Source organism: Homo sapiens, chromosome 6 (assembly GCF_000001405.40).
Source record: "Homo sapiens chromosome 6, GRCh38.p14 Primary Assembly".
In the NCBI taxonomy this organism is placed as follows: Eukaryota; Metazoa; Chordata; class Mammalia; order Primates; family Hominidae; genus Homo; species Homo sapiens.
The window spans coordinates 70,698,869-70,726,766 of NC_000006.12; the positions used below are offsets into that span (position 1 = coordinate 70,698,869).

Here is a 27,898-nt window from a genome sequence, read left to right on the forward strand (position 1 = left end):
TGTCACTCTGGGATTGATCATTTGTGCCTTATTTAGTTCATTTGGGGAGGTCATGTTTTCTTGGATGGTCTTGATGCTTGTGGATGTTTGTTGATGTCTGGGCATTGAAGAGTTAGGTATTTATTGTGGTCTTTTCTGTCTAGGCTTGTTTGTCCTCATCCTTCTTGGGAAGGCTGTCCAAGTATGCAAAGGAATTGAGTGTCCTGATCTAAGTCTTTGCTTATTGCAGCTGCATCTGCATTAGTGGGGACCCAGACCCAGTAACACTGACTCTTGCAGACCGGTAGAGGTACTGCTTTGGTGGTCTTAGGTGAGATCTGAGAGAATTCCCTGGATTACCAGGCAGAGACTCTTGTTTTCTTCCCTTACTTTCCTGCAAACAAATGGAGTCTCTCTCTCTGTGCAGAGCTTCCTGCGGCTGAGGGAGGGATGAAACAAGTACCCATGTGACCACCACCACTGGGACTGCGCTGGATTAGACCTGAAACCAGCATAGCACTGAGTCTTACCCGGGACCTGTGGCGACCACTGCCTGGCTACCACTGATGTTCTCTCAAGGCCCAAGAGCTCTTCAGTCAGCAGGTAGTGAATCCGGCCTGGCTTGTATCCTCCCTTCAGGACAGCGAGCTCTCCACTGGCCCAAGGTGGGTCCAGAAATGCCTGAGAACCAGGGCTTGGAGTCAGGAAGCTTAGGATTCCACTTAATGCACTGTTCTGCTGTGGCTGAGTTGGCATCCAAGCTGCAAGACAAAGTTCTTAACATTCTTCCCTCTCCTTTCTTCAAGTGGTAGTCTTTCCTCATGACCACCACTGCCCAAGGCCTGTGGTGAGTACTGCCTCGCCACTGCTGATGTTAACGTAAGGTCCGAGGGCTCTTCAGTGAGTTTGTAGTAAATGTTGCCAGGCCTGGGTCTCTCCCTTCAAGGCAGTGGGCTCCTCTTTGGCCCAGGGTGGGTCCAGAAATGCCATCCAGGAGCCAAGGCCTGGAATCTGGGATCCTAGGAGCCTGCTTGGTGCTCCACACCACTGTGACTTAGCTGGCAACCAAACTGTAAGACAAAGTCCCCGTTATTCTTCCCTTTCCTTTCCTCAAGCAGAAGGTGATATGGTTTGGGTATTTGTCACACCCAAATCTCATGTTGAGATGTTGTATTCCCCAGTGTTGGAGGTGGGGCCTGGTGGGAGGTTTGTGGGTCACAGGAATGGATTCCTCGTACCTTCGTGCTGTTCTTGAGATAGTGAGTGAGTTCTCATGAGATATGATTATTTAAAAGTGTGTGGCACCTCCCTCTGCCCCTTGCTCCTTCTCTCGCCATATGGCCTGCAAGCACCTGCTTCACCTTCTGTCGTGAGTAAAAGCTCCCTGAGGCTTCCGCAGAAGCCAAGCACATGCTGGTGCCATAATTGTACAGCCAGCAGAACAGTGAACCAATTAAACCTCTTTTCTCTTTTCAGACAGTCTCACTGTCACCCAGGCTGAAGTGCAGTGGCATGATCTCGGTTCACTGCAACCTCCATTTCCCAGGTTCAAGCGATTCTTGTGCCTCAGCCTCCAGAGTAGCTGCGATTACAGGATGTACCACCATGCCTGGCTAATTTTTGTGTTTTTAGTAGAGATGGAGTTTCACCATGTTGGCCAGACAGGTCTCAAACTCCTGGCCTCAAGTGATCCACCTGCCTTGGCCTCCCAAATTGCTGGGATTACAGGTGTGAGCCATGGCACCCAGCCTAAACTTCTTTTCTTTGTAAATTACCCAGCCTCAGATATTTATGTATAGTAACAGAAGAACGACCTAATACAGAAGGAGTCTCTCCCCATAGCCACCACAGCTGTGAACATGGTGGGTCATGCTTGAAGCCTGCATGGCACTGGGTCTTACCCAAGGCCTGCAGCAAGTTCTACTTGGCTACTAGCAAGTACCGGCAAGTATTACCTGCTGGTGTTTGTTCAAGACCCAAGGGCTCTTTAGTCAGCAGGTAATGGATCCTGCCAGAACTGTGTCCTTCCCTTCAAGGCAGTGGGTTCCCTTCTGGCCCAGGGTGTGTCTAGAATTGTCATCGGGGAGCTAGGTCCTGGAATGGGGGCCTCAGGACTCTGCCTGGTGCTCCATTCTCTTGTGGATGAACTGATATCCAAGTTGCAAGGCAAAGTCGTCTTTACCCTCCCCTCTTCTCTCCTCACACGGAAGGAAGGAGTCTCTCCTAGAGCTGTGAGCTGTGCCACCTGGGATTGGGGGAGTGGTGATGCAAGCACTCCCTTGGCTGCCCCAGCTGGTATCTCAGCTCACTGCTACCTCCACCTCCTAGGCTCAAGCAATCCTTCTACCTCAGCCTTCCTAGTAGCTGGGACTATAGGCACACACCACCATGCCTGGCTAATTTTTTTGTATTTTTGGTAGAGATGGGTTTTGCCATGTTTCCCAAGCTTGTCTCGAACTCCTGAGCTCAAGTGATCCACCCGGCTCTGGATCACAGGCATGAGCCACCATGCCTGGCCTGGTGTCTTACTAGGTCACGTGCACCCAAAGTCCACTGGCTGCAAGCCCAGCACAGCACCGGGACTTGCCTAGGGATTGCAGTCCTTGTGGCCAAGACTGCCTTTCAAGTTTATTTAGGACCCTAGAGTGCTTTAGCATGCACTGGTGGGACTAGCCAGAACTCAGGTTCTCGCTGCTGGGATGGATGATTTTCCTCTGGTTAAGGCTGGTATAAAAGTTCCTTCCTTGGGCCCCAGCTGATTTCTGCCCTGTGTCGCTTCCCACCATGATTGGCAGGACAGAGTTTCAATGCCAAGTCCCACAATCACTGCGTTCTCCCTTCCCCAAGCACACATTCTCTCTCTGTCATACAGCTGCTGTCCAGGGGGTTGAGGAGGGTAGTGTAGGCAATTCAAAATTGTCTTCCCTAACCTCTTCAGTGCCCCTTTTCTCAATATGATATTAAAACCAGATACTTTGGTTCTTATGAAGGTGATTTCTTGTGTGGATAATTGTTCAATTTGGTGTTCCTGCAGGGGAGATGATTATTGGTTCTGTTTGTTCATCTTGCTCTGCCTCCTACTTCATTGATTACTTTCCTGACCTTTATTTCACCTTTGTTTTCAAAAGATGTTTTAGTATGGCAAAAAGTTCTACGTTGACAGTATTTTACTTTCAGTACTTTTAAGATATTTTGCTGTTTGTGAGTTTCCGTTGATTTTGTGAGAAATCTGTCATCATTGTATGTTCCTTTGTCCGTAATGCCTTTTCCCCCAGCTTCTTTTAAGATTTTTTTCTGTTTATCCTTAGTTTTAATCAGTTTGATTATGAATTGTCTTTTGGTAGCTTTCTTCATGTTTCTTTTTTGGGGGGGGTTCCTTTGAGGTTCTTGGTTCTATGGGTTTATAGTTTTCAATGCATTTGGAAAAAATTCTGCAATTATTTTACTTTTTCTGTCACTCCACCTCTTAATTTGGGAATTCCAATTAAAAGTTAATTAGGTTGCTGAAACTGCTGCAGAGCTCAGTTACATGCTTTTTTTTTGGGGAGGGGGTCTGTTTATTTGTTTCATTTTAGATAGTTGCTATTGCTTTGTCTTCACATTCTTTTAGCAGTTTTTTCTTCTTGATTGTCTCATCTCTTAATTCTATCCAGTGTAGTTCTTATCCCAGTCATTATAGTTTGCATCTTATAGAAGTTTGATTTGGATCTTTTGTGTCCACACACACATGCACTCCATGCCTCATGCCTCTTCTTCACATGTTCAGCCTTTCTTTCTTCTTCTTCTTCTTCTTCTTTTTTTTTTTTTGAGGCAGAGTCTAGCTCTTTTACCCAGGCTGGAGTTGAGTGGTGTGATCTCAGCTCACTGCAACCTCCCAGGCTCAAGCCATTGTCCCACCTCAGCCTCCTGAGTAGCTGGGACTACAGGTGCGCACCACCACACCTGGTTAATTTTTGTGTTTGTTATAGAGACAGGGTCTTGGCCCTGTTGCCCAGGCTGGTCTCGAAATCCTGAGTGCAAGCAGTTCACCTGCTTTGGCCTTCCAAAGTGCTGGGATTACAGGCATGAGCCACTGTGCCTGTCCCCATGTTCAGTCTTTCTTATAGCTTCTTGAACATATAGAAGTCAATGATAATGGATTTTGTGCCTTGCGTGCTAATTCAAGTGTAATTTGAGGGTTTGTTTCGATTGATTGACTTTCCTCCTTTTTATAGATTATGTTTTCCTTTTTTCACGACTTTTTTTTTTGAGACAGAGTCTCGCTCTGTCACCCAGGCTGGAGTTCAGTGACACGATATGGCTGACTGCAACCTCTGCCTTCTGGGCTCAAGCGATTCTCCTGCTTCAGCCTCCCAAGTAGTTGGGATTACAGATGCCTGCCACCATGCTCAACTAATTTTTGTATTTTTAGTAGAGACAGGGTTTCACCATGTTGGCCAGGTTGGTCTTGAACTGATCTCAAGTGATCCGCCCACCTCGGCCTCCCAAAGTGGTGGGATTACAGGTGTGAGCCACCACGCTCAGCCAGCATTTTTCAATTGAATGCTAGATATGGGAATTGTATCGGTTCCTGATATTTTTGTATTTTTATAAATATTTTTGACCTTTTTTCTTGGATGCAGTTAAGTTACTTGGAAATAGCCTGACTTTTTCAGATCTTGCTTTTAAGCTTTACTAGGTGAGACTACAGGACTTTATAGAATTAATTTTTCCATTAGTGAGGCAAAAATTCTTCGAATACCATATCTGATGATCCATTAATAATAAAGTTTTCAAGTTAGTTTCCTCTAATTGTTTTGGGTGGGGTTTTCCCTACCTTCTGTAGTTTCCTCACACACGTGCACCAATCAGTACTCAATTAAATATTCAGTGATGACTTTTTGCATGTTTAAGGAGTTTTCTCTCTGTGCATCTCTCTCCTCTTGTATGCTGCCTTATGAAATTCAGCCACCTTAGTCTCTGTGAACTCCTAGATCCATTTCCTGGAGTTAGGGAGGCCACTGGGCTGCCCCTGGATTTATCTTCCCTTTGCCATGGCCTAGACACTTTCCCTGGACAGTAAGCTGAGTTCATTGTAAGGCTCTCACCTAGTTTGTTTTCCATCTCTTGATTTCCAGTTTCTTCAGCAATGTGTTATATATTTTGTTTGGATTTAAAGTTGCTTTAGTCGATTGGGCAAATTTCAGCGTCTGTTCCTTCATATTTTGGTTAGAAAACAACTCAATATGGTATTTTAGTAGAAAAAGCCATGAAAAGAAAATTACTTTTAAACCCCTTGTTTCTTTTTATTGAAACTTATATTTTTCCTAGGCTCATTGAAGAGAACAGTTACATTTAAGTTTATTTATAACATCTGTCCTCATGTAATTTTTAGAGCTATTAACAAATTACAGGAGAAAATGAAAACTATTGATGTTACTAGTACTCTTCTGTTCCAATGAAAGCTTGATACTGCTAAGTGAATGATACAAAACAAGTTAATCCATTACTCCTCCTGATTCTTTGAAGTCTGAATCAACTTATAGAGGAAATCTCCTGTGATGTGCTGTGCTCTTCATATATAAATTTGATTGTATTTTGCTGACTGCTAATATTACAGATTTTTTTTTCAAGTCAAATTAAAATGGTTATATTCTGCAGCAAGTTATTTAAATTGTTCATGTTTCAAATAACGTCTCCTTCCATTTCATAGAATGGTGAAAACATCTGTTTATGTAATTATAGTTTGCTGTTGTCAAACTGGTACAGAATTTGCCTTAGTCTTTGAGTTTATTCTTCCTGCTAAAATGCAAACAAGGCTAATATATTCCACAGTTGTATTTGTTAAAAATCTTTATATAGCAATTTTCATTGTTACTGATATCAAAGACATTAAGTGGGATTAGTCAACCGTATCCATTATTTGTGAGCTTGAAAGACAAGAAAGTAGTTGGACTCTGCATCTAATTCAGAGTGTCATTTTAGCCATCAGTTTCTGCTTCTCCTTATATCAAGACTTTTAAAAAGCAAAAGTTCTAATATATGGAGACATTTATTATTTTAGTTAATTTTTCCACTTCAAGCTGAAAGGGGCTATTAATTGAACAGGCAGGCATCCAAAGACAAATATCTAACTTGTTTTTCTCTGTCTTGCTTTCTTGGGATTTGTAGTTCATGATGGCAGACTCTCATCTGTTTTATTTCCCTGAGGATACCCAGTAACTAGAAAGTTCTTGGCATATAGTAAGCATTAACCACATTTTTGATGACAGTGAGTCAATGAATGAGTGAATGAACAATTAAGCTTCTGAGTCTTTTCCCTTCTTCCATATCTCATCCATCTTTCCAGGCCTAGTTCAAAGTTATACTGCATTTATGAAGTGTTTTTTGAATGAAATTTTCTCCAACTATTTCAGTTCATTATGATTTTTTTTTTTTTTTTTAAGACAGAGTCTTGCTCTGTTGCCCAGACTGGAGTGAAGTGGTGTGATCTTGGGTCTCTGCAGCTTCCACCTCCTGGGTTCAAGTGATTCTCCTGCCTCAGCCTCCCAAGTAGTTGGGATTACAGGCGCCTGCCACCATGCCTGGCTAATTTTTTGTATTTTTAGTAGAGCTGGGGTTTCATCATGTTGGCCAGGCTGGTCTCAAACTCCTGACTTAGGTGATCCTCTGCCTCAGCTTCCCAAACTGTTGGGATTACAGGTATGAGCCGCCACGCTGGGGCCATTATGATCTTTTCATTGAACTCTTGGCATTTTCTTGCCAGTTTAAGAGAGAATTTTCTAACAAATATAACTGCACACAGTTGGAGTAGACAGCAAGAAGGAAACATTCTATTACTTAAAGTGTTTAAGGAGTGGCAGGATGGCCTTGTCAGTAAAAGGGAGGGGAGTGACAGGTATAGCGTTCTTATTGTGCCAGGTACTTATGTATTTCACGCCCTTTAATTTCAAAGGCCCCAACCCTACAAGGTATAGATCAACTTTGCCTATTTTTTAGTGTGGAAACTGAGGTTTAGAGAGGCCTATAAAATTTGTCTACAGTTCCATAGCCATAAGCGTCTGATTGATAAAGCAAACCCAAGTTCTTTGTAGAAGAGCTGTTATACTGCCTTTAGTGTGTAACTACTTCATGAACTCAGAGTCCATTATGATTGTGTAAGGTATGACAGTTTGGCATTTCTACCAAGAAATGAAGGCTTGAATGGGGCAGAATGACAGCACTTGGTGGTTAGGAAGAGAAGAAAGTTTTGGATAATGGGATAATTAGAAACACCGAAAGGGAAAGAGAGGTACCAAACTTTATCATTCTGTTCCTATTTTGGCCTCATGATATGTCAAGGTTTTTGACAACGAAGTTGGTGGATCCTATTTTGATTTTTTTAGAGAAACATTTATTATTGGGGTTTATTGCTCTGGTTTTTGTTTTATATGATACAAGAGAAACAACAAAATTAAGTCTTACAGTAAAAATAAGTCCTTTCCCCCCAACTATCTTAAAATCTTAAGATAAAAATCTTGACTGGTTAAAACCAGTCAACTAACTTCTTGTTTTTAGTGAAGATCGTGTTTGTTAATAATGCATTTTTTGAACTTGTCTTTTTTCATGGTTTCATATGGAACAGACATACCTTAGTAAACTGGCATATTATACTTTTATCTGGCTGCTCTCTGGATGATCTGGTAAACCATCATGTTATACAGAGGTTAAAGAGGTAAAGTGAGTTCATATTTTTGGTTGTTTTATTGGCAGATTTTCTCTCTGCTTTTCTGTACACTTAAAATGTTTGCATAATTAAAAATTTTTAAGAATTGCATAACCCTATTTGTATTTAATACATGCCTTTAAACAAATGAAAAAATATATTAAACTTTCGTTGTACCACCAGATGGCGCTCTCTATTAATCCAAATTAAGATGCCCACACCATTTTCTGAATTATTTTGTGTTATGTGTATTGTTAGATTTTTGGCATGAATGTATGGTCAAATAATAATGGGATCTAGAATTCACGAATAAAAGAGGAAGTAGAATAAATGAGTTGCTAATGTATAGCCCCAGGATATATCAAATAAGCCAGTGTTTAATATAGTTTCTGGAATTTAATCATTAGTCATTAGAATGATGTTAGAATAAAATTTAGGATTAGGAATATAGCTGTTTTGTATTTTGCCACATATGTTTGTCCTTCCTTATTCTGGGTTTTTCTTTGATTTTTATCAATAGTTTTTATGTATCAGCTGTTTTTGACATTAATGGTTTCTCTTGTTATATGTTAGTTTTATACTATTAGAGTAACTTTATTCCAATTATGATGTACTGGAATTTGGATTCATGAGATTTTGTCATATTTTGATCACATAAGCATGGAACATTTGAGCTTGATTTGTTTAACAAAATAAATAAACATCATCTCTGAATATATTCACTTGTGTCCATTCTTTCTCTTTTCATGAATGTGATTTATTATTTCAGTAATAAAGGATGTTAATCTTAAATTGGTAATCCTAAATAAAACTTTTATATTATCCTCATTAACTTTTTTTTTAGCTAAAAGGAATGGTAGGCAAAATTGATGTATGTTGAAAGTCAGCCTGAAAGCTATTGAGAGCATGATCTGTTAATTAACATAACAGTAAAGGTCTTTTACTGTTGCCTTTGCGAAAAGAAAACTAAACACATATTTTCAAAAGCAAACTATTTTGGCATTTAAAAAAGCTTGAAAATAGACATCTGAAACCTAATATTGTTAATGTAACACATTTTAAACATTTATTTATTTATTTATATTTATTTTTGAGACAGAGTCTCACTCTGTCACCCAAGCTGGAGTGCAGTAGTGGGATCTTAGCTCACTGCAACCTCCACCTCCTGTGTTCAAGTGATTCTCCTGCCTCAGCCTCCTGAGTAGCTGGGACTACAGGCGCATGCCACCACACTAGCTAATTTTCATATTTTTAGTAGAGATGGGGTTTCACTATGTCTACATGTTGGCCAGGCTTTAAAATTTATTTTTTATTGCATGTATTTAAGCTGTACAGCATGACATTTTGATACACATATATAGTGAAATGATTTCTACAGTCAAACAAATCAACATATCCACCACTTTCCATAGTCAACATTTTTGGCATGGTAGGAGTACCTAAAACCTACTCTTTCAGCAAGTTTTCAGTATATTGCAGTGTAGTAACACTGCAGTGTATAACTATAGTCCTTATGCTGAACATTATATCTCTAGACTTAGCAATCTTACATAGCTGTAAATTTGTACCCTTTGACCTCCCTCTTCCTGTTTCCTCTCCTTTCCTGCGCCTGGTAACCATCATTCTACTCTCTGTTTCTGTTTACTTTTCTCCCTAGATTTCACATATACGTGAGATTATACAATATTTTTCTTTCTATATCTGGCTTATTTTACTAACCATAATGTCCCCCAGATTCATCCCTGTTGTCTCAAGTGGTGGGTTCTCCCTTTTTCCCCCAAGGCCGAATTATATTCCATTGTATGTATACACCATAATTTCTTTGTTCATTCATCCGTTGATGGACAAACACTTAGGTCATTTCCATCTTAACTATTGGGAAAAAATGCTGCAATGAACATGGGAGTCCAGATGTCTCTATGAAGTGCTGATTTCATTTCCTTTAGGGAAATCAGAGGAATTGCTTGGCCTATGGTAATTTTATTTTTAAATTTTTGAAGAATCTGCATACTCCTTTCCATAATAGCTGTACCAATTTACATTCATACCAATAGTATATAAGGGTTTCTTTTTCTCTACACCTTTCTAACACTTGTTATCTCTTGTCTTCTTGATAATAGCCTTCTTAACAGGTGTGAAGTGATATTACACAGTGGTTTCGATTTGCATTTATCTGATGACTAATGATGTTGAGTACTTTCTGATATATGTATTGGCTATTTTTATGCCTTCTTTGGAAAAATGTCTATTCAGGTCCTTTGCCCGTTTTTAAGTAAGTGTTTTTTTGGTTTTGTTTTTTGCTAGTAAGTTTTAAAAAAAATTTAGATATTAATTTCTTAACAGAGAGATGGTTTGCAAATATTTTGCCCCAATCTGTAGGCTGCCTTTTCATTTTGTTGATTGTTTCCTTTGCATTGCAGAAGCTTTTTAGTTTGATGTAGTCCCACTTGTTTATTTTTGCTTTTGTGGCTTGAGCTTTCGCTGTGATATCTAGAAAATCAGTCCAGACCAGTATGAAGGAGCTTTTCCCTATATTTTCTTCTAAGGAGGTTTTTGTGTGTGTGTGTGTGTGGTATAAGGGTCCAGTTTCATTCTTTTGCATTAGATATTTAGTTTTCCCAACCCCATTTGTTGAAGAGACTGTACTTCCGCCATTGTGTCTTCTTGGCGGGCTTGTCAGGAATTACTTGACCATATATGCTTGGATTTATTTCTGGCTTTCTATGCTGTTTCATTAGTCTGTGTCTATTTTCATGCCCATACCATAAACAATATGCCCATATTGTTTTGATTACTATAGCTTTATAATACTTTTTTTTTCTTTTGAGACAGGCTCTCGCTCTGTTGCCCATGCTAGAATACAGTAGCACGATCATGGCTCATTGTAGCCTTGACTTCCTTGCTCAAGTGATCCTCCCACCTGAGCCTGCGACTGCAGGTGTGTGCCACTGTGCCTGGTTAATTTTTAAATTTTTTGTAGAGACAGGTCTGTGTTGCCCAGGCTGGTTTCAAGCTCCTGGGCACAAGTAATCCTCCTAGCTCAGTTTCCCAAAGTGTTGGGATTATAGGTGTGAGCCACTGCACCCATCCTATAATATGATTTGAAATCAAGAAGTGTGATGCCTGCAACCTTATTTTTCTTTCTTAAGATTGTTTTGGCTACTTGGGGCCTTTTGTGGTTTCATACAAATTTTACAGTTTTTTTCTTTTTCTGTGAAAAATGTCATTGGAATTGCATTTGTTTGTATATTGTTTTAGGTAGCATGGACATTTTAATAATATAATTCTTCCAATTCATGAACACAAGGTATCTTTCCATTTGTGTCTTCAATTTTTTTTTTAATCAGTGTTTTATAGTTTTCGGTGTGTAGATCTTTCATTCCCTGGTTAAATTTATTCCTAACTTCAGTCTTTCATTACTTAATGATGGGGATAAATTCTGAGATATGAGTCATTAGGTGATTTCGTCATTGTGGGAGACTCATAGAGTGTACTTACACAAACTAGCTGTCTCTGTGTCTAGGCTGTCATGGTATAGCCTATTGCTCCTAGGCGACAAACCTGTACAGCCTGTTACTGTACTGAATACTGTAGGCAATTGTAGCACATAGTGTTTATATATCAAAACAATTAAACCTGGAAAAGGTACAGTACAAATTGCTATAAAAGATAAAAAACAGGCTGGGTGTGGTAGCTCACGCCTGTAATCCCAGCACTTTGGAAGGCTGAGGTGGGCGGATCATGAGGTCAAGAGATAGAGACCATCCTGGCCAACATGGTGAAACCCCATCTCTACTAAAAATACAAAAATTAGCTGGACATGGTGGCATGCACCCGTAGTCCCAGCTGCTCGGGAGGCTGAGGCAGGAGAATCGCTTGAACCCGAGATTGCGTAGGTTGCAGTGAGCCGAGATTGCGTCACTGCACACTCCAGCCTGGTGACAGAGCGAGACTCCCATCTCAAAAAAAAAAAAAAAAAAAAAAAGGGTAAACGGCATACACATATAGGGCACTTACCATGATTGGAGCTTGCAGAATTGGCAGTTGCTCTGGGTAAGTCAGTGAGTGAATAGTGAATGAATGTGAAGGTGTAAGACATTACTGTAGGCTTTGTAAACACTGTACACTTAGGCTAGAATAAATTGATATTAAAAATTTCTTGATAAATTAACCTTAGCTTACTGTAACTTTTTATTATCTAAAAACTTCAAAAATTTTTTAAACTTCTTGACTCTTTTGTAATAACAGTTTAAGACACACGTTGTACAGCTATACAAGGCATTTTCTTTATATCCTTATTCTATAAGCTTTTGTCTATTATTATTATTGCTTTTTTACTTTTTAAGCTTTTTTTGTTCAAAACTAAGACACGAACACCCATATTAGCCTAGGACTCCACAGGTTCAGGATTTTCAGTATCCCTCTTTCACCTTCACATCCTATCCCATGGAAGGTCTTCAAGGGCAATAACACACATGGAGCTGTCATTTCCTATAATAATAATGCTGTCTTCTGGAATACCTCCTGAAGGGCCTACCTGAGGCTATTTTACAGTTAACTTTTTTTAATAAGTAGAAGGAGTACATTCTAAAATAACAGTAAAAAGTATAGTAAATACATAAACCAGTACCATAGTCATTTATTATCAAGTACATAATTGTGTGTGCTATACTTTTATTCAGCTGGCAGTGCAATAGGTTTATTTACACCAGCATTATCACAGACATGTTAGTAATTTGTTGTGCTACGATGTCACAATAATTACAATGTCTCTAGGCAATAGGAATTTTTTATTTCCATAATAATCTCATGGAACTGTTACTGTAAATGTGGTCTGTCATTGATTGAAAGGTCATTATGCAGAGCCTGACTGTATTTTATTCCTTTTGTTGTGTTTTCTCTTTCAGATCGATCACTATTGGTATAAATAAATGCAGCTGATTTTTGTATGTTGATTTTGTGTTTTACTTTACTGAATTAATTTATTAGCTCTTTTTTTTTTTTTTCTTTTTTGAGACAGAGTTTCACTCTTGTCACCCAGGCTGGAGTGCATTGGCGCGATCTCTGCTCACTGTGACCTCCGCCTCCCAGGTTCAAGCGATTCTTCTGCCTTAGCCTCCTGAGTATCTGGGATTACAGGCGCCTGCCACCATGCCCGGCTAATTTTTGTGTTTTTAGTAGAGATGGGGTTTCACTATGTTGGCCAGGCTGGTCTCGAACTCCTGACCTCAGGTGATCCACCTGCCTCGTCCTCTCAAAATGCTGGGACCCGCACCTGGCCTAATATGTATATATTTTTAATGGAGTCATTAGTATTTTCTACATAAAGGATTACGTCATCTGCAAATGAGGATAATTTTACCTTTTCCTTTCTGATTTGGATGCTGTTTATGTCTTTTGTAGGATTGCTCTTGCTAATATTTCCAATTCTGTGTTCAATAGAAGTGGTGAGAATAGATATCCTTTCCTTGTACCAGATCTTGGAAGAAAAGCTTTCAGTTTCTCCCCCACAGATTATTATGTTTGCTTTGAGTTTTTCATAAATGGCCTTTATTATGTTGAGGAAGTTTCCTTCTATACTTATTCTGTCGAAAGTTTTTATTATGAAAAGATGTGGAACTTTTGTCAAATGCTTTTTTGTTCATTTATTGAGATGATCATGTGGCTTGTATCATTCATTCTGTTAATGAGGGGTAATCACCTTGATTGATTTGTGTATGTTAAGCCAACCTTATATCCCAGAGGAAAATCCCACTTGGTCAAAGTGTATTATCTTTTTAATGTGTTGTTGAATTTGGTTTGCTGGTATTTTACTGAAGATTTTTGAATGTGTGCTCATCAGAGATATTGGCTTACAGCTTTCTTTCCTTGTGGCATCTTTGTCCAGCTTTGGTACTACCCTGAGGGTGATACTGGCTTCATACTATGAGTTTGGAAATACTCCCTCTACTTATTTTTTGGAAAACTTCAAGAAGGATTGGTGTTAATTCTTCTTTGAGTGTTTGGTAGAATTTAGCTGTGAAGCCATCTGGTCCTGGATTTTTCTTTGTTGAGAGGTTATTGATTACTTCTTTCATCTCTATTTGTAATTTGACTGTTGAGGAAATTCTGTTTCTTCTTGATTCAGTCTTGATAGGTTTTATGTTCCTAGGAATTTATCTGTTTCCTTTAGGTTATTCAATTTATTGGCACCTAGTTGTTTATAAGTAGTTCCTTATTTTTTTTTATTGCTTTTCTTTTCTTTTCTTTTTTCTTTTTTTCTTTTCTTTTTTTTTTTTTTGAGACAGAATCTCACTCTGTCACCTAGGCTGGAGTGCAGTGGCACAATCATGGTTCACTGCAACCTCTGCCTTCCGGGTTCAAGTGATTCTTTCCTCAGCCTCCTGAGTAGCTGAGATTACAGGCATGTGCCACCACACCTGGCTCATTTTTTGTATTTTTAGTAGAGATGGGGTTTCACCATGTTGGTCAGGCTGGTCTTGAACTCCTGACCTCAAATGATCCACCCACCTCGGCCTCCCAAAGTGCTGGAATTACAGGTGTGAGCCACTGCACCCATCCTGTGATTTTTTTATATTTCAGAGACATCCTTTGTAATGCTTCCTCTTTCATTTCTGATTTTTAGTCTTCTCTCTCTTTCTCTTAGACTACCTGGGAGTTTGTCAGTTTTATTTTCTCAACAACCAACTCTTAGTTTTGTTGATTTTTTTTCCTGTGGTTTTTCTATGCTTTATTTGATTTATCTGTGTTTTTTTACTTTCTTTCTTCTGCTAACTTTGGGTTAAGTCTGTTCTTATTCTAGCTCCTTGAGGTGTATAGTTAGGTTGTTTATTTTGAGATTTTTTTTAATGCAGACATTTATCACTACAAAATTTCCTCTTATTACTGCTTTTGCTGTATCACGTAAGTTTTGGTTTGTTCTCTTTTTGTTTTTGTTTATCCTGAGATATTTAAAAAATTCTCTTTTGACTTACTGTTTGACCTAGTGGTTGTTCAATAGTGCGTTATTTAGTATTTGTGAATTTTCCATGTTCTTCTTGTTATCTAGTTCAATTCCATTGTTGTTGGACAAGGTATTTGATGATATTATTTTGAACTTCTTAAATTTGTTTAGACTTGTTTTGTGACCTAATGTGATCTGTCCTGGAAAATATTTTATGTACACTTGAAAAGAATGTATATTCTTCTGTTGAGTAGAACGTTCTGTATAGGCTTGTCAAGTTTATTTGGTGTGTAGTGTTGTTCAAGCCCCGTTTCTTTATTAATTTTTTTGTCTGGATGTCCTATCTATTGTTGAAAATGGGGTACTGAAGTCACCTACTATTACTGTATTGCTATCAGTTTCTTCTTTCAGTTCTGTCAGTATTTGCTTTATATACTTGGGTGCTCTGATGTTGGGTGTGTATTTGTTTACAATTGTTATATCTTCTTGTTGAATTGATCCTTTTGTCATTGTGTAATGACCTTTTTTTGTCTCTAGAGACAGTTTTTGACTTACAGTGTACTTCGATGCAAATATGGCCACTCTTTTGGGTACCATTTGCATGGACTATTCTTTTCTATTCCTTCACTTTCCACGTATGTGTGTCCTTGAATCTAAAGTTAGTTTCTTGTAGACAATGTATAGTTGGATCTTTTTTTTTTAAATTCATTTAGCTGCTTTATCTTTTTATTGGAGAGTTTAGTCCATTTACATTTAAAGTAATTATTGACAAGGAAAGATTTACCGTTGCTGTTTTGTTAACTGTTTTCTGTTTGTTTTGTAGTTGTTTTGTCCTCCTTTTTCTCTCCTATTGTCGTCTTGTTGCTTTTTGTAATGCTGTGATTCTTTGTGTAACTTCTATAGGTGTTTTTTTTGTAGTTACCAGAAGGCTTATATAAAATATCTTGTAATTATCTGTGTTAAGCTGATAACAGCTTAACTTCTTTTCCATGCAGGAGCACTCATTTTTACCTTTCTTACCCTCAAATTATATGTTATTGAGTTACAATTTAGATCTATTGTATTATGTATTTAAGATAATTTCGTTAGAGTTGTTTTTAGTACTTTTATCTTTTAGGTTTTGTACTGGGATTATAATTAACTTCACACCACTGTTATAGTAATAAAATATTCTTTTTATTTTGCCCGTATATTTAACTTTACTAACAAGTTTTGTACTTTTTTTGGTATAAAAAACAAAAAAAACATTATGTTGTTGTTTTGCATCTTTTCATTTCAACTTGAATAACTACCTTTAGCATGCTTGCAAGGCAGGAATAGTGGATAAAGTACCTTGGCTTTTATTGGTTTGAGAACACCTTTATCTCCCCTTCAGCTTTAAAGGACAGGATTGCTGGGTATAGTATTCTTGGCTGACAATTTTTTTTTCTTTCTGCACTTTGCATATATAATTCTATTCCCTTCAGCCTGCAAGGTTTCTGCTGAAAAATCTAATAAGAAATAGAGAGTCCCCTGTACTTAGCAAGTTGCTTCTTTCTTGCTGCTTTCAAAATCCTCTCTGTCTTTAATTTTTGACAATTTGATGATAATGTATTGTCTCTGTGTGGGTTTCTTTTTTTTTTTTTTTCCTTTTTTTTTTTTGGAGACATGGTCTTATAGTGTTGCCCAGGCTGGAGTGCAGTGGTGTGATCATGGCTCACTGTAGCCTTGACCTCCCTAGGCTCAGGACCTCCTGCCTCAGTACCCCTAGTTTCTGGGACCACAAGCACTTGCCAGCATGCCTGGCTAATTTTGTATTTTGTGTGGAGACAGAGTTTTTCCATGTTGCCCAGGCTGGTCTCAAACTCCTGGGCTCAGTCCACCTGTCTTGGCCTCCCAAAGTGTTGGGATTATGGGCATGAGCCACTGCACCTAGCCTGTGTGGGTTTCTTTGGATTAATCCTATTTGGTATCATTTGGGCTACCTGAATCTGGATTTGTATTTTCTTTCCCAGGCATGGGAAGTTTTCAGCCATTATGTCTTTGAATGTGTTTTTAGTCCCTTTCTTTCTCTCTTCTGCAACTCTGATAATGCCTATATTGTGATGGCTTCACTTAAGTCCCTTAAGTCAGCAGTCCCCAACTTTTTTGGCACCAGCGACTGGTCTTGTGGAAGACAGTTTTTCCATGGACTTGGGATGGTGGAGTAGGGTAGGTGGGAGAGGTGGAGGGTTTTGGGATGATTCAAGTGCATTACATTTATTGTGCACTTTATTTCTATTTTATTTTATTTTTTATTTCCATAGGTTTTGGGGGAACAAGTGGTATTTGGTTACATGAGTAAGTTCTTTAGTGGTGATTTGTAAGATTTTGGTGTGCTGTCATCACTCGAGCACTAAACCCAATTTGTAGTATTTTATCCCTCACCCGCTTTCCACCCTTTTCCCCCAGTCCCCAAAGTCCATTGTATCATTCTTAAGCCTTTGAATCTTTATAGCTTAGCTCCCACTTATGAGTGAGAACATAATGATGTTTGGTTTTCCATTCCTGAATTACTTCACTTAGAAAAATGGTCTCCAATCCCATCCAGGTTGCTGAGAATGCCATTAATTCATTCCTTTCTATGGCTTAGTTGTATTCCATCATACAGATACATACCACAGTTATCTACTTGTTGATGGGCATTTGATCCACATTTTTGCAATTGGGAATTGTGCTGCTGTAAACATGCATGTATTGTGCACTTTATTTCTATTATTATTATATACTCACCATAATGTAAAATCAGTGGGAGCCCTGAGCTTGTTTTCCTGCAGCTATATGGTCCCATCTGGGGGTGATGGGAGACAGTGACAGGCATTAGATTCTCATAAGGAGCATGTGCCCTGGATCCCTTGCATGTGCAGTTCACAACAGAGTTTGTGCTTTTATGAGAATCTGATGCCACTGCCTATCTGAGGGGTGGTGGAGCTCAGCTTTGCTCACTTGCCCACCACTCACCTCCTGCTGTGTGGTCTTGTTCCTAATAGGCCACAGACCAGTATCTGTATTGGTCTGTGGCTTGGGGGTTGGAGGCTCCTGCCTTAAGCTGTCTTTACTCTTTTTCATTCTTTGTTATTTTTGCTTTTCAGATTGGATGATTTCCAGTGACCTGTCTTGGAGTTCACTGATCTTTTCTTCTGCTTGATCTAGTCTGTTACTGGACCCATCTTTTGACTTTTTGGTTCAGTTATTATATTTTTCATTTGTATAATTTCTGTTTGGTGCTTTCAAAATATGTTCTGTCACTTTGTTGAGTTCTCAGTTTGTTTATGCATTGCTCTGTTGAGCTCAGTGATCATCTTTATGACCATTTTTTAAAATTCCTTGTTGGGTAAATTGCATATCATCATTTCCTTAGGGTCAGTTTCTGAAAATTTACCTGGTTCTTTTATCTGGAACATATTTCTCTGTTTCTTTATTGCCCTCACTCTTGGTTTGGCTTCTGTGCATTAGATAAGACTACTGCCTCTACTAGTCTTGTGAGACTGGTGTTGTGTAGGAGATGATTCTTACCAGTTAGGCCAGCCAGAGTTTCTAGGTACCTCTAAAATCTTTTTGTTTGTCCAAACTACACTCTTTGTTCTTTCTTAGTGGTCTCCAGTAATTAGGGTGTGCCAAGTTCTGCCAGATGAATTAGAAGCTAGTTTCTTGAGATGCAGGTGGGAAGATTGGTGTGTTAGAAGTGTGTTGCAGTTCATTCTATCTTTAGGGAGAAGCTGAGAGCCAGAGCTTATCTCTCATTCATTCCACACTAAGCTGGAGAGAGGATCTGTGGCAGATGCCTGCACACTTATTTAGGCTGCACTGTCTCTTTGTTGTCCACAGTTCAGGAAAACTCACGAATACCAAGACACTCTTGCTCTTAGGGCTAGGTGATTTAGGAGCCAAATCCTCTAAGAGAACTGCAAAAGTTGGGTCACTTACACGCACGGTCCAACCCTTCACTCCTTAGTTAGAAGCTGGGTATTGGGGATTCCTTCTTGATTGTTTGGCACAGTGCACAGGGAGGGGTTTGTGTGCAAGTGTGTCTAAACTTTTTCTACCTGTTTGGATGTGGATGTTTTCTCAGTTGCCCCATGTATAGGAGACTGTCGGCCAGTTTCTGGCTTTCTCTCAGAGGAAATTGATCTGTGTATACATGTTTATTCAGTACTTCTGTGGGAGGAAGTAAAGCTACGGGCTTCCTTTTCCATCATCTTGCTGATGTCACTGCTAACACATTTTCAGATCACATTTTTAGGTGGTTTTGTTTCTGGTTATGCCATTCAAATAGAACCAGGAGTGTTTTTAAAAACATTACATTTTACTAGCATGGCATCTTTAAGAATTGGTTCTCCTTTTTCCTGGGTATATTCTCTTAGAAGATTAAATACTTGATGATGAGAAAATAATATATTGAATTTCAGGAAGTTTATCTTATATATCTATTTTAGTGTTGTTCATTGGGAAAGGAAAAAGTTAGATGAATTATCACTTGCCGGTTTTCACAGAGCAGATTGTTATAGAAGCAATGACTAAAATAAAATGACTATTTTATTAATATTCCATCCTCCCCACAAGCTCCACAAGCTCCCCTTCCAATTTTTTTGGTGTTTTTTTTTCCCCTTCCGACTTAAAAAATTTTATTGTTTACTGGCAACCAGGCATGCACACATGTGTACGTATGCATATTAAATTAAATTTTATCTAATGGGTTAATGAATCTGAGAAGCAGTGTTTGGAACCAGGAGGACATTGTAGCTAATGAGATCCTGAACTGGGGCAGAGGTCCAGCTGGGATGAGGGTAAAGTCATGAATTTGAAAAGAGAAGATAAAATAATCAAGATGTTTGCTTGATTAAATGGTTAAGGATAATGAAAGAAAGAGAGGAGCAAGAATGACATTTTTATTTCTCCCCTTACATCACCAACTAAGTTGGGGGAATGTGAAAAAGCAATGTTGGAGGGAGGAAGAGAGAGGGAAGGGCTGAAAGGAAAAATGAATTCCATCTTGGACATATTTAATTGGCATTATCCAAGTTGGTTATAAGAATGCGATGCTTGGGGCTGAGCATGGTGGCTCATACCTATAATCCCAGCACTATGGGAGGCCAAGGCGGGTGAATCACAAGGTCAGGAGTTGGAGACCAGCCTGGCCAACATGATCCAATCCCGTCTCTGCTAAAAATACAAACAATTAGCTGGGCGTGGTGGCGGGCACCTGTAATCCCAGCTACTTGGGAGGCTGAGGCAGGAAAATCCCTTGAACCGGGAAGTAGAGGTTGCAGTGAGCTGAGATTGTACCACTTCACTCCAGCCTGGGTGACAGTGTAAGACTCCATCTCAAAAAAAAAAAAAAAAAAAAAAAGTGTTGCTTGGAGAAGGGATGAAGACTAGAGATATGCCACATTTTCTTATTTTAAAAAGTCCTTTCTTGTTTTTCTCATCTTGACAAGTATCTAATAATTAATGTGTATTTTTAATGTGTGATTTCACCTTAAAAAGATTATTATAAAAACATTTAAAAACTATTTTATAACATATATAATCAGTGGAATTGCATGACTAAAGAAATGTAGATTTTTGGAGTTAAAGGTTTGATATCTTATGGACTCTTTAACAGTAGCAGGTGAAATTAGCAAGGAAAAGTATGGGATACAGAGAAAAGTACTTGTTCTATGAAAAATGATTTGTAGTTATAGAGTGCTTTCATTATATGTACTTTGTCGTTTGGTATTCATAGCAGTTACCTGAATGTAGTAGATGGTGGTATTTGTATTTTCAAATGAAGAAACTGATCTTCATAGTGTGGATACAGGGATACTTTTTTAAAAAATTCTTTTTATTATTATTGTCATTGAATGGTTATACACAAGTATTTTCATTTTTTATTCATTTTTACAAATGGAAGCAAGAATGAAATGAAGGAAATTATTAATACAGTTCTCTCATCCACCCTTGAATCTCCCATCCAGATTCAAATGGTAACATTTTACCACACTTATTCTCTTTGTCCTTTATATATGTGTACAAACACACCCATTTCCCCCCTGAACTTATAGCCAAAATGCTCCTATATCCCTGAATATTTCAGCGTTTGTCTCCTGTATCAGTCGGTTTTCACGCTGCTGTTAAAGACGTACCCGAGACTGGGAAGAAAAAGAGGTTTAACTGGACTTACAGTTCATATGGTCGGGGAGGCCTTAGAATCATGGTGGGAGGCAAAAGGCACTTCTTACATGGTGGCAGCAAGAGAAAATGAGGAAGAAGCAAAAGTGGAAACCCCTCATAAACCCATCAGATCTCATGAGACTTATTAACTATAATGAGAATAGCGTGGGAAAGACTAGCCCCCATGGTTCAATTATCTTGCTCTGGGTCCCTCCTACAACATGTGGGAATTCTGGCAGATACAATTCAAGTTGAGATTTAGATGGGGATGCAGCCAAACCATATCATTCTGCCCCTGGTCACTCCCAAATTGTATGTCCTCACATTTCAAGACTAATCATGCCTTCCCAACAGTCCCCCAGAGTTGTAACTCATTTCAGCATTAACCAAAAAGTCCACAGTCCAAATTCTCATCTGAGACAAGGCAAGTCCCTTTTGCCTATGAGCATGTAAAATAAAATCAAAAGCAAGGTAGTTACTTCCCAGATACAATGGGGGTACAGGTATTGGGTAAATATAGCCATTCCAGATGGGAGAAATTGGCCAAAACAAAGGGGTTACAGGGCCCATGCAAGTCCAAAATCCAGCAGAGCAGTCAAATTTTAAGCCTCCAAAATGATCTCCATGAGTGCAGGTCTTGCATCGAGGTTATGCTGATTCAAGAGGTGGGTTCCCATGGTCTTGGGCGGCTCTGCCCCTGTGGTTTTGCAGGGTACAGCCTCCTTCCCGGCTGCTTTCATGGGCTGGTGTTTAGCATCTGTGGCTTTTCTGGGCACATAGTGCAGGCTGTTAGTGGATCTACCATTCTGGGATCTGGAGGATGGTGGCCCTCTTCTCACAGCTCCACTAGGTGGTGCCCCAGTAGGGACTCTGTGTGGGGGCTCTGACCCCACATTTCCCTACCACAATGCCCTAGCAGAGGTTCTCCATGAGGACCCTGCCCCTGCAGCAAACTTGTGCCTGGGCATCCAGGCGTTTCCATACATCTTCTAAAATCTAGGAGGAGGTTTCCAAACCTCAGTTCTTGACATCTGTTTCCCTGCAGGCTTAACACCACATGGAAGCTGCCAAGGTTTGGGGCTTCCACCCTCTGAAGCCATTGGCTCCTTTCAGCCATGGCTGGAGCGGAGAGGCTGGGACACAGGGCACCAAGTCCCTAGGCTGCACACAGCATGGGGACCCTGGGCCCGGCCCATGAAACCACTTTTTCCTCCTGGGCCTCCGCACCTGTGATGGGAGGGGCTGCTGTGAAGGTCTCTGACATGGCCTGGAGACATTTTCCCCATGGTCACGGGGATTAATATCTTGATATCTTATGAACTCTTAACAGTAGTAGGTGAAATTAGCAAGAAAAGTTTGGGGTTAGAGAGAAAAGGACTTGTTCTATGAAAATGATTTGTAGGCTTCTTGCTACTTATGCAAATTAGGCTCCTTGCTACTTATGCAAATTTCTGCAGCCGGCTTGAATTTCTCCCTAGAAAATGGGTTTTTCTTTTCTATCGCATAGTCAGGCTGCAAAGTTTTTTCCAAACTTTTATGCTCTGCTTCCCTTATAAAACTGAATGCCTTTAACACAACCCAAATCACCTCTTGAATGCTTTGCTGCTTAGAAATTTTTTCCGCCAGATACCCTAAATTGTCTTTCTCAAGTTCAAAGTTCCACAAACCTCTAGGGCAGGGGCAAAATGCTGCCAATCTCTATGCTAAAACATAACAAGAGTCACCTTACTCCAGTTCCCAACAAGTTCCTCATCTCCATCTGAGACCACTACAGCCTGGACCTTATTGTCTATATCGCTATCAGCATTTTGGGCAAAGCCATTCAACAAGTCTCTAGGAGGTTCCAAACTTTCCCACATTTTCTTGTCTTCTGAGCCTTCCAAACTGTCCCATCCTCTGTCTGTTCCCCATTTCCAAAGTTGCTTCCACATTTTTGGGTATCTTTTCAGTAACGCCCCACTCTCCTGGTACCAATTTACTGTATTAATCTGTTTTCATGCTGCTGATAAAGACATAACTGAGCCTGGGAAGAAAAAGTGGTTTAATTGGACTTACAGTTCCACATGGCTGGGGAGGCCTCAGAATCACGGAATCATGGTCGGAAGTGAAAGGCACTTCTTACATGGCAGCAGCAAAAGAAAATGAGGAAGAAGCAAAAGTGGGAACCCCTGATAAACCCGTCAGATTTCGTGAGACTTATTAACTATAACGAAAATAGCATGGGAAAGACCGGCCCCCATGATTCAATTACCTTGCCCCGGATCCCTCCCACAACACATGGGAATTCTGGGAGACACAATTCAAGTTGAGATTTGGATGAGGACTCAGCCAAAGCATATCATCTCCTAATAACAAAGACTTTACATGATCACAGTACGTTTATTAAAATCAGGAAATTATCATTGATATCTATAGAACTTACATTTCATCAATTGTCACAATAATGTCAGGGACAACAAATTTGTCAAGCTCTACAAGTACTAATGAAGGGCAGTGCCACATAAATAAAGCATACTGTTAGATTGAAATTAGAGTATTTGTAAAGAGGTTGCCTTCTGAGATAATTAATGGCCATCAGCCTCTGTTAATATATTTGCCTGCCCTATATCCCACAATTTGACTTTGAATTTTAGGGAGAGTAGGGAGTAGTAGAGAGCAAATTATTTTTGTTTTTGCCATTTGACCCTTTCCAGAAACAGTAGCGCATGCCCAGAACATCCTTTGGAGGAATTCTAGCATTGTTTTCCTCACTTAGCTTTAATCCTTTCTTTCTTGTCCTCCTTTCATATTTACTAGCATGTGCTAAGCACTGAATTAAAATGATAGAACTATGTGTATGTACTGTGCATAGACCAGCTCTGTCAGGGAGACCCTAACCCAGTGGTGCTAGAGGAATTAAAGACACACAGACAGAAATATAGCCTGTGGAGTGGGAAATCAGGGGACTCACAGCCTTCAGAGCTGAGAGCCCCAAACAGAGATTTATCCACATATTTATTGACAGCAAGCCAGTGATAACCATTGTTTCTATAGATTATAGATTAACTAAAAGTATTCCTTATGGGAAACAAAGGGATGGACTCTGGCTAGTTATCTACAGCAGGAACATGTCCTTAAGGCACAGATCGCTCATGCTATTTTTTGTGGTTTAAGAACGCCTTTAAGCGGTTTTCCACGCTGGGTGGGCCAGGTGTTCCTTGCCTTCATTCCGGTAAACCCACAACCTTCAGCGTGGGCGTCATGGCCATCACGAACATGTCACAGTGCTGCAGAGATTTTGTTTATGGCCAGCTTTGGGGCCAGTTTATGGCCAGATTTGGGGGCCTATCCCCAGCAGTACCGATTGTGCTGTTTTATACTTAGGGAATAGGTTGTTTGGGCAGCAACCGCTTAAAAACATTTCTGAGTAAACTTTTATTATATTTTATAGGGATGTAAAAGTGGCCCTTTATAGACTCTTTTGTTTGTTTGTTTGGACCCTTCTTGGTATTTCTTTTTATTTTTTAGAGATTGGGTCTTGTTATATTGCTCAGGCTGGAGTGCAGTGGCTCCAGCACTGCAGCCTTGAATTCCTGGGCTCAAGCATCCCTTCTGCCTCAGCCTCCCAGGTAGCTGGGACTATAGGCACATGCCATTGCACCAGGCTTTCCTTGGTATTTCTTAAACATACATTAAACATTTCTTAAGGAATCCCTCAATGTATACCTTAAATGTGAAGAAGCCATATTGTTCTTCAAGGCCTTTGTGTTTATTGTTCCCTTTACCTTAATTGTGCTTATTGTTCCCTTTGCCTTGATTACTCTTTCCCCAGATAGCTGCATGGTTTGTTCCCCTAACTCCTTCAGATCACTGGTCAAATAGAACTTCCCTGACCAAATGATGACTACCTTTCCCTCCCCCTTTCTCACCTGTACTCCCTATCCATTTTCTCCATAAAATTCACCACACTGATACACTATTACTTTCACATGTTTGCTTATTGTATACTGCCTTCCATAGGAGTATAAGTTCCATGATGGCTGGAGTTTATCTGTTTAGTTTACTACTATATCCCCAGAGCCCTTAACAGTGTGTTGATGTAGTAGACTCTTGGTAAATCTTTGTGAGGTGAATGCATGTGCTGCTATTCTGAGTTTGAATGTGACAGATTATTTTTTTCCTAAAAAAATAGCAATTCCGAGGGAATTATTTAAATACTACAACTTAGGTGCTGTCTTTCTGAGTAGGGGAGCTTTAAAATAACTTATTTTAGAACTTTTCTTTCAAAGGTTTTATTTTCTATTATGTTATTGGTTTGCTTGGTTCTACACAATTTTCTTACCAAGTATATTGAAAAAAAAAGATTGCAATGAGTTAAATATCAATTCTTTTGTTTTTTAATAAAATGAAAATGTTTTCTTATTATTTAATGTCAGTCTTGTTTCAGACAAATTTTAGAAGAATTAACTATGTCCATTTTTATGGGTAATGTTTGTACTTGCTGGGGTATTTAAGGTTTTTTTTTTGTTGTTGTTGTTGTTTTTTTGTTTTTTTTCTTTTTTTAAGATAGGAAATGTTCCTTTTTTTTTGAAATGGAATTTCAATCATGTCACCCAGGCTGGAGTGCAGTGTTGTGATCTTGGCTCACTGCAACCTTTGCCTCCTGGGTTCAAGCAATTCTCCTGCCTCAGCCTCCCAAGTAGCTGGGACTACAGACGCCTGCCACATGCTCAGCTAATTTTTGTATTTTTAGTAGAGAAGGGGTTTCATCATGTTGGCCAGGCTGGTCTTGAACTCCTGACCTCAGGTGATCCGCCTGCCTCGGCCTCCCAGAGTGCTGGGATTACAGGCGTGAGCCACTGCACCCGGTCAAGATAGGAAATGTTCTGTGAACTTATTTTTTTGAGTGATCACAATCACTTGCCTTCCATTAATGCTTCATTTTAGGAAATGATTAATTAAATAGTATGTGGAAACTTTCTTCTAATCAGCAATAGTATGTGGAAACTTTCTTCTAAACTCTTTTGAAGTTTATAAAGGTTTTGCAGGAAGTCTAGTTGTAAAATGTTATACCTACATGTCATCTTTTAGCATTGCCGAGGCTTCTTTACAGGAAAACATGAACGTGACACAGATAACCACAGGTGACTAGGTCATAGCAAAATATGTTAGTAGCTTTAAGATTACTTAAAAAGGAATATTTTAAAGAACTTTTTTCTTAATAAAATATTATATAATGAAATATGTTTAATATTAAGAAACTCCCAAACATTCTATTGAGTGTATTTGCTAGGAGAAACCTTTTGGAAATGTAAAATAACTTTTGTCCAAATACTATTTATGAAACTTCTATTTAAACTTTTGGGTTGAAATGTGAAATCTTTTAAATATGGTAGTGTCTGAGTCAGTGGCTTCTTAGCTGGCATTTCTGTGTATTTGCTCAGACTCCATATCCTAAATTAACCAGTGTTTTTTTTTTTTTTTTTTTTTTTTTTTTTTTTTTTTTTTTTGAGACGGAGTCTCGCTCTGTCGCCCAGGCTGGAGTGCAGTGGCGTGATCTCGGCTCACTGCAAGCTCTGCCTCCCGGGTTCACATTATTCTCCTGCCTCAGTCTCCCGAGTAGCTGGGACTACAGGCGCCTGCTACCACACCCGGCTAATTTTTTGTATTTTTAGTAGAGACGGGGTTTCACCGTGTTAACCAGGATGGTCTTGATCTCCTGACCTCGTGATCTACCCGCCTCGGCCTCCCTAAGTGCTGGGATTACAGGCGTGAGGGAAAACTTGTTTTTATGGCTTGTTTCCTGGTTTTCCTGGTAGTTCACAAACATACCCGACCCATAGTATAGCTGACCATGAGCAGTGAAGGGCTAGTCAGTGCTCTTGCGTAAAGAACAAAGGGCCTGTGGTATGGAAAGAGAAGGGTTTGTTCCTTGTTTCCTGCCTGATCCTGGATAATATTTTGACATATGTAGTTTCTCTTTGAGATCTTTGAGTTTGGTGTGTGTCTCTTTCCCTGGGCATCCACTACTATGATGCTGCCTCAAGAATTAACGTTTACATCTCAGTTGATTTTGCCCTCCTCTTCTGTTCCTCCTTGGGCAAAATTCTCTACCCTTTGCAGTTTCCCTCTCCAACAAATAAAACCAAACCAAATCCAATTCTTACTTCTTTTTATCTTGGGTATTATGAGGAAAGAAATAAAGCAAACTTATAATAATTTTAGAAGGATTGATAGTTCTGGAGAGATGAATAGATAATTTGCATCTCTAAACCTATATCATTAGCCTCAACGGAAGTGACTTAGCATTTCGAAAAGCTGACAAAGTAGAGTAAAATCCCCCAGCCAGTATAAGGGAATTTCGTTTGGAATGATGGAATTACCATAGTAGGAGACACAGTATTCACAGTTGCATTTGGAGATTTGCCTCTGTCATGGTCTCAGCTGGCTCTCCATTTTTTCTTTATGTTTTGAGCCTAAATTTCTCAATCTTTAAAATGGAGTGGTAATATTACCTACTTTGCATATTTGTTAGGATTAAACCAGACAGTATATTTGGAAATATGATGAATAATGTCTTACTTATTTAGTAAGATGGTAGTTTCCTCTAAAAATGCTCCCTTAGCAGTTTTGGCAGCAGTAACCCAGATGGCTCAAGGTCTTAGCTATCCTTTGTAAGCTAGAGACTGCTTAAATTTTTATACCAGACATTGTGCTGGGTACAGAACATACAGAGATCAATAAAATGAAGTCCCTGTTCTCAAAGAGATCACTGTTTCTCAGAAAAGACAGATAAAACAATTAACTGTAAGTCATTGTGATAAATGTTATTTTAAAAGTGCTCTTGGGGCATTGGAGAAGGCTTTATAGAATAAGTCTTAAAATTACCATTAGTTAGCATTAAATTCTTTGTTCCTCATCGTATTTTCTTTGTAAAAAATATTTAAGAAAGCTTTTCTGTTTTGCTAGTTCATCATGGTAATCAGAAACTGAAGAGAAATTTCTTCTCAGAAGAGCACACAGTTTTATCTTATTTCTCAAATCATGTGAAAGCTACAAGGCAAGTGTATTGAGATCTCAATAAAATTCCTGTTCATTTTTTAGACATGTAATGTCTTTTACACTATTTATACTTAATAGTG

General features: G+C 39.2%; 1 protein-coding gene across 9 annotated transcripts in view, besides 1 other annotated feature; it reads left to right on the plus strand.

Moving 5' to 3' along the window:
* Positions 1–27,898, plus strand: part of SMAP1 (small ArfGAP 1) — a 194,133-nt gene that overhangs the window by 30,986 nt on the left and 135,249 nt on the right. The window contains exon 2 of one of the 9 annotated variants that reach the window (XM_047419227.1): positions 407–582. The exons of the other annotated variants lie outside the window; for them this stretch is intronic. Within the exon in view, the coding sequence (XP_047275183.1) occupies positions 546–582 (37 nt within the window). The 5' untranslated portion in view covers positions 407–545. The remainder of the gene's footprint in view (positions 1–406; positions 583–27,898) is intronic. 9 annotated transcript variants of the gene reach the window in all.
* Positions 14,330–14,379: an enhancer, noted in NCBI's record as "active region_24734". NCBI's record gives its function as "activates an Ori minimal core promoter by ATAC-STARR-seq in GM12878 lymphoblastoid cells {active_cell/tissue: GM12878}" and the evidence as "EXISTENCE:reporter gene assay evidence [ECO:0000049][PMID:35858748]".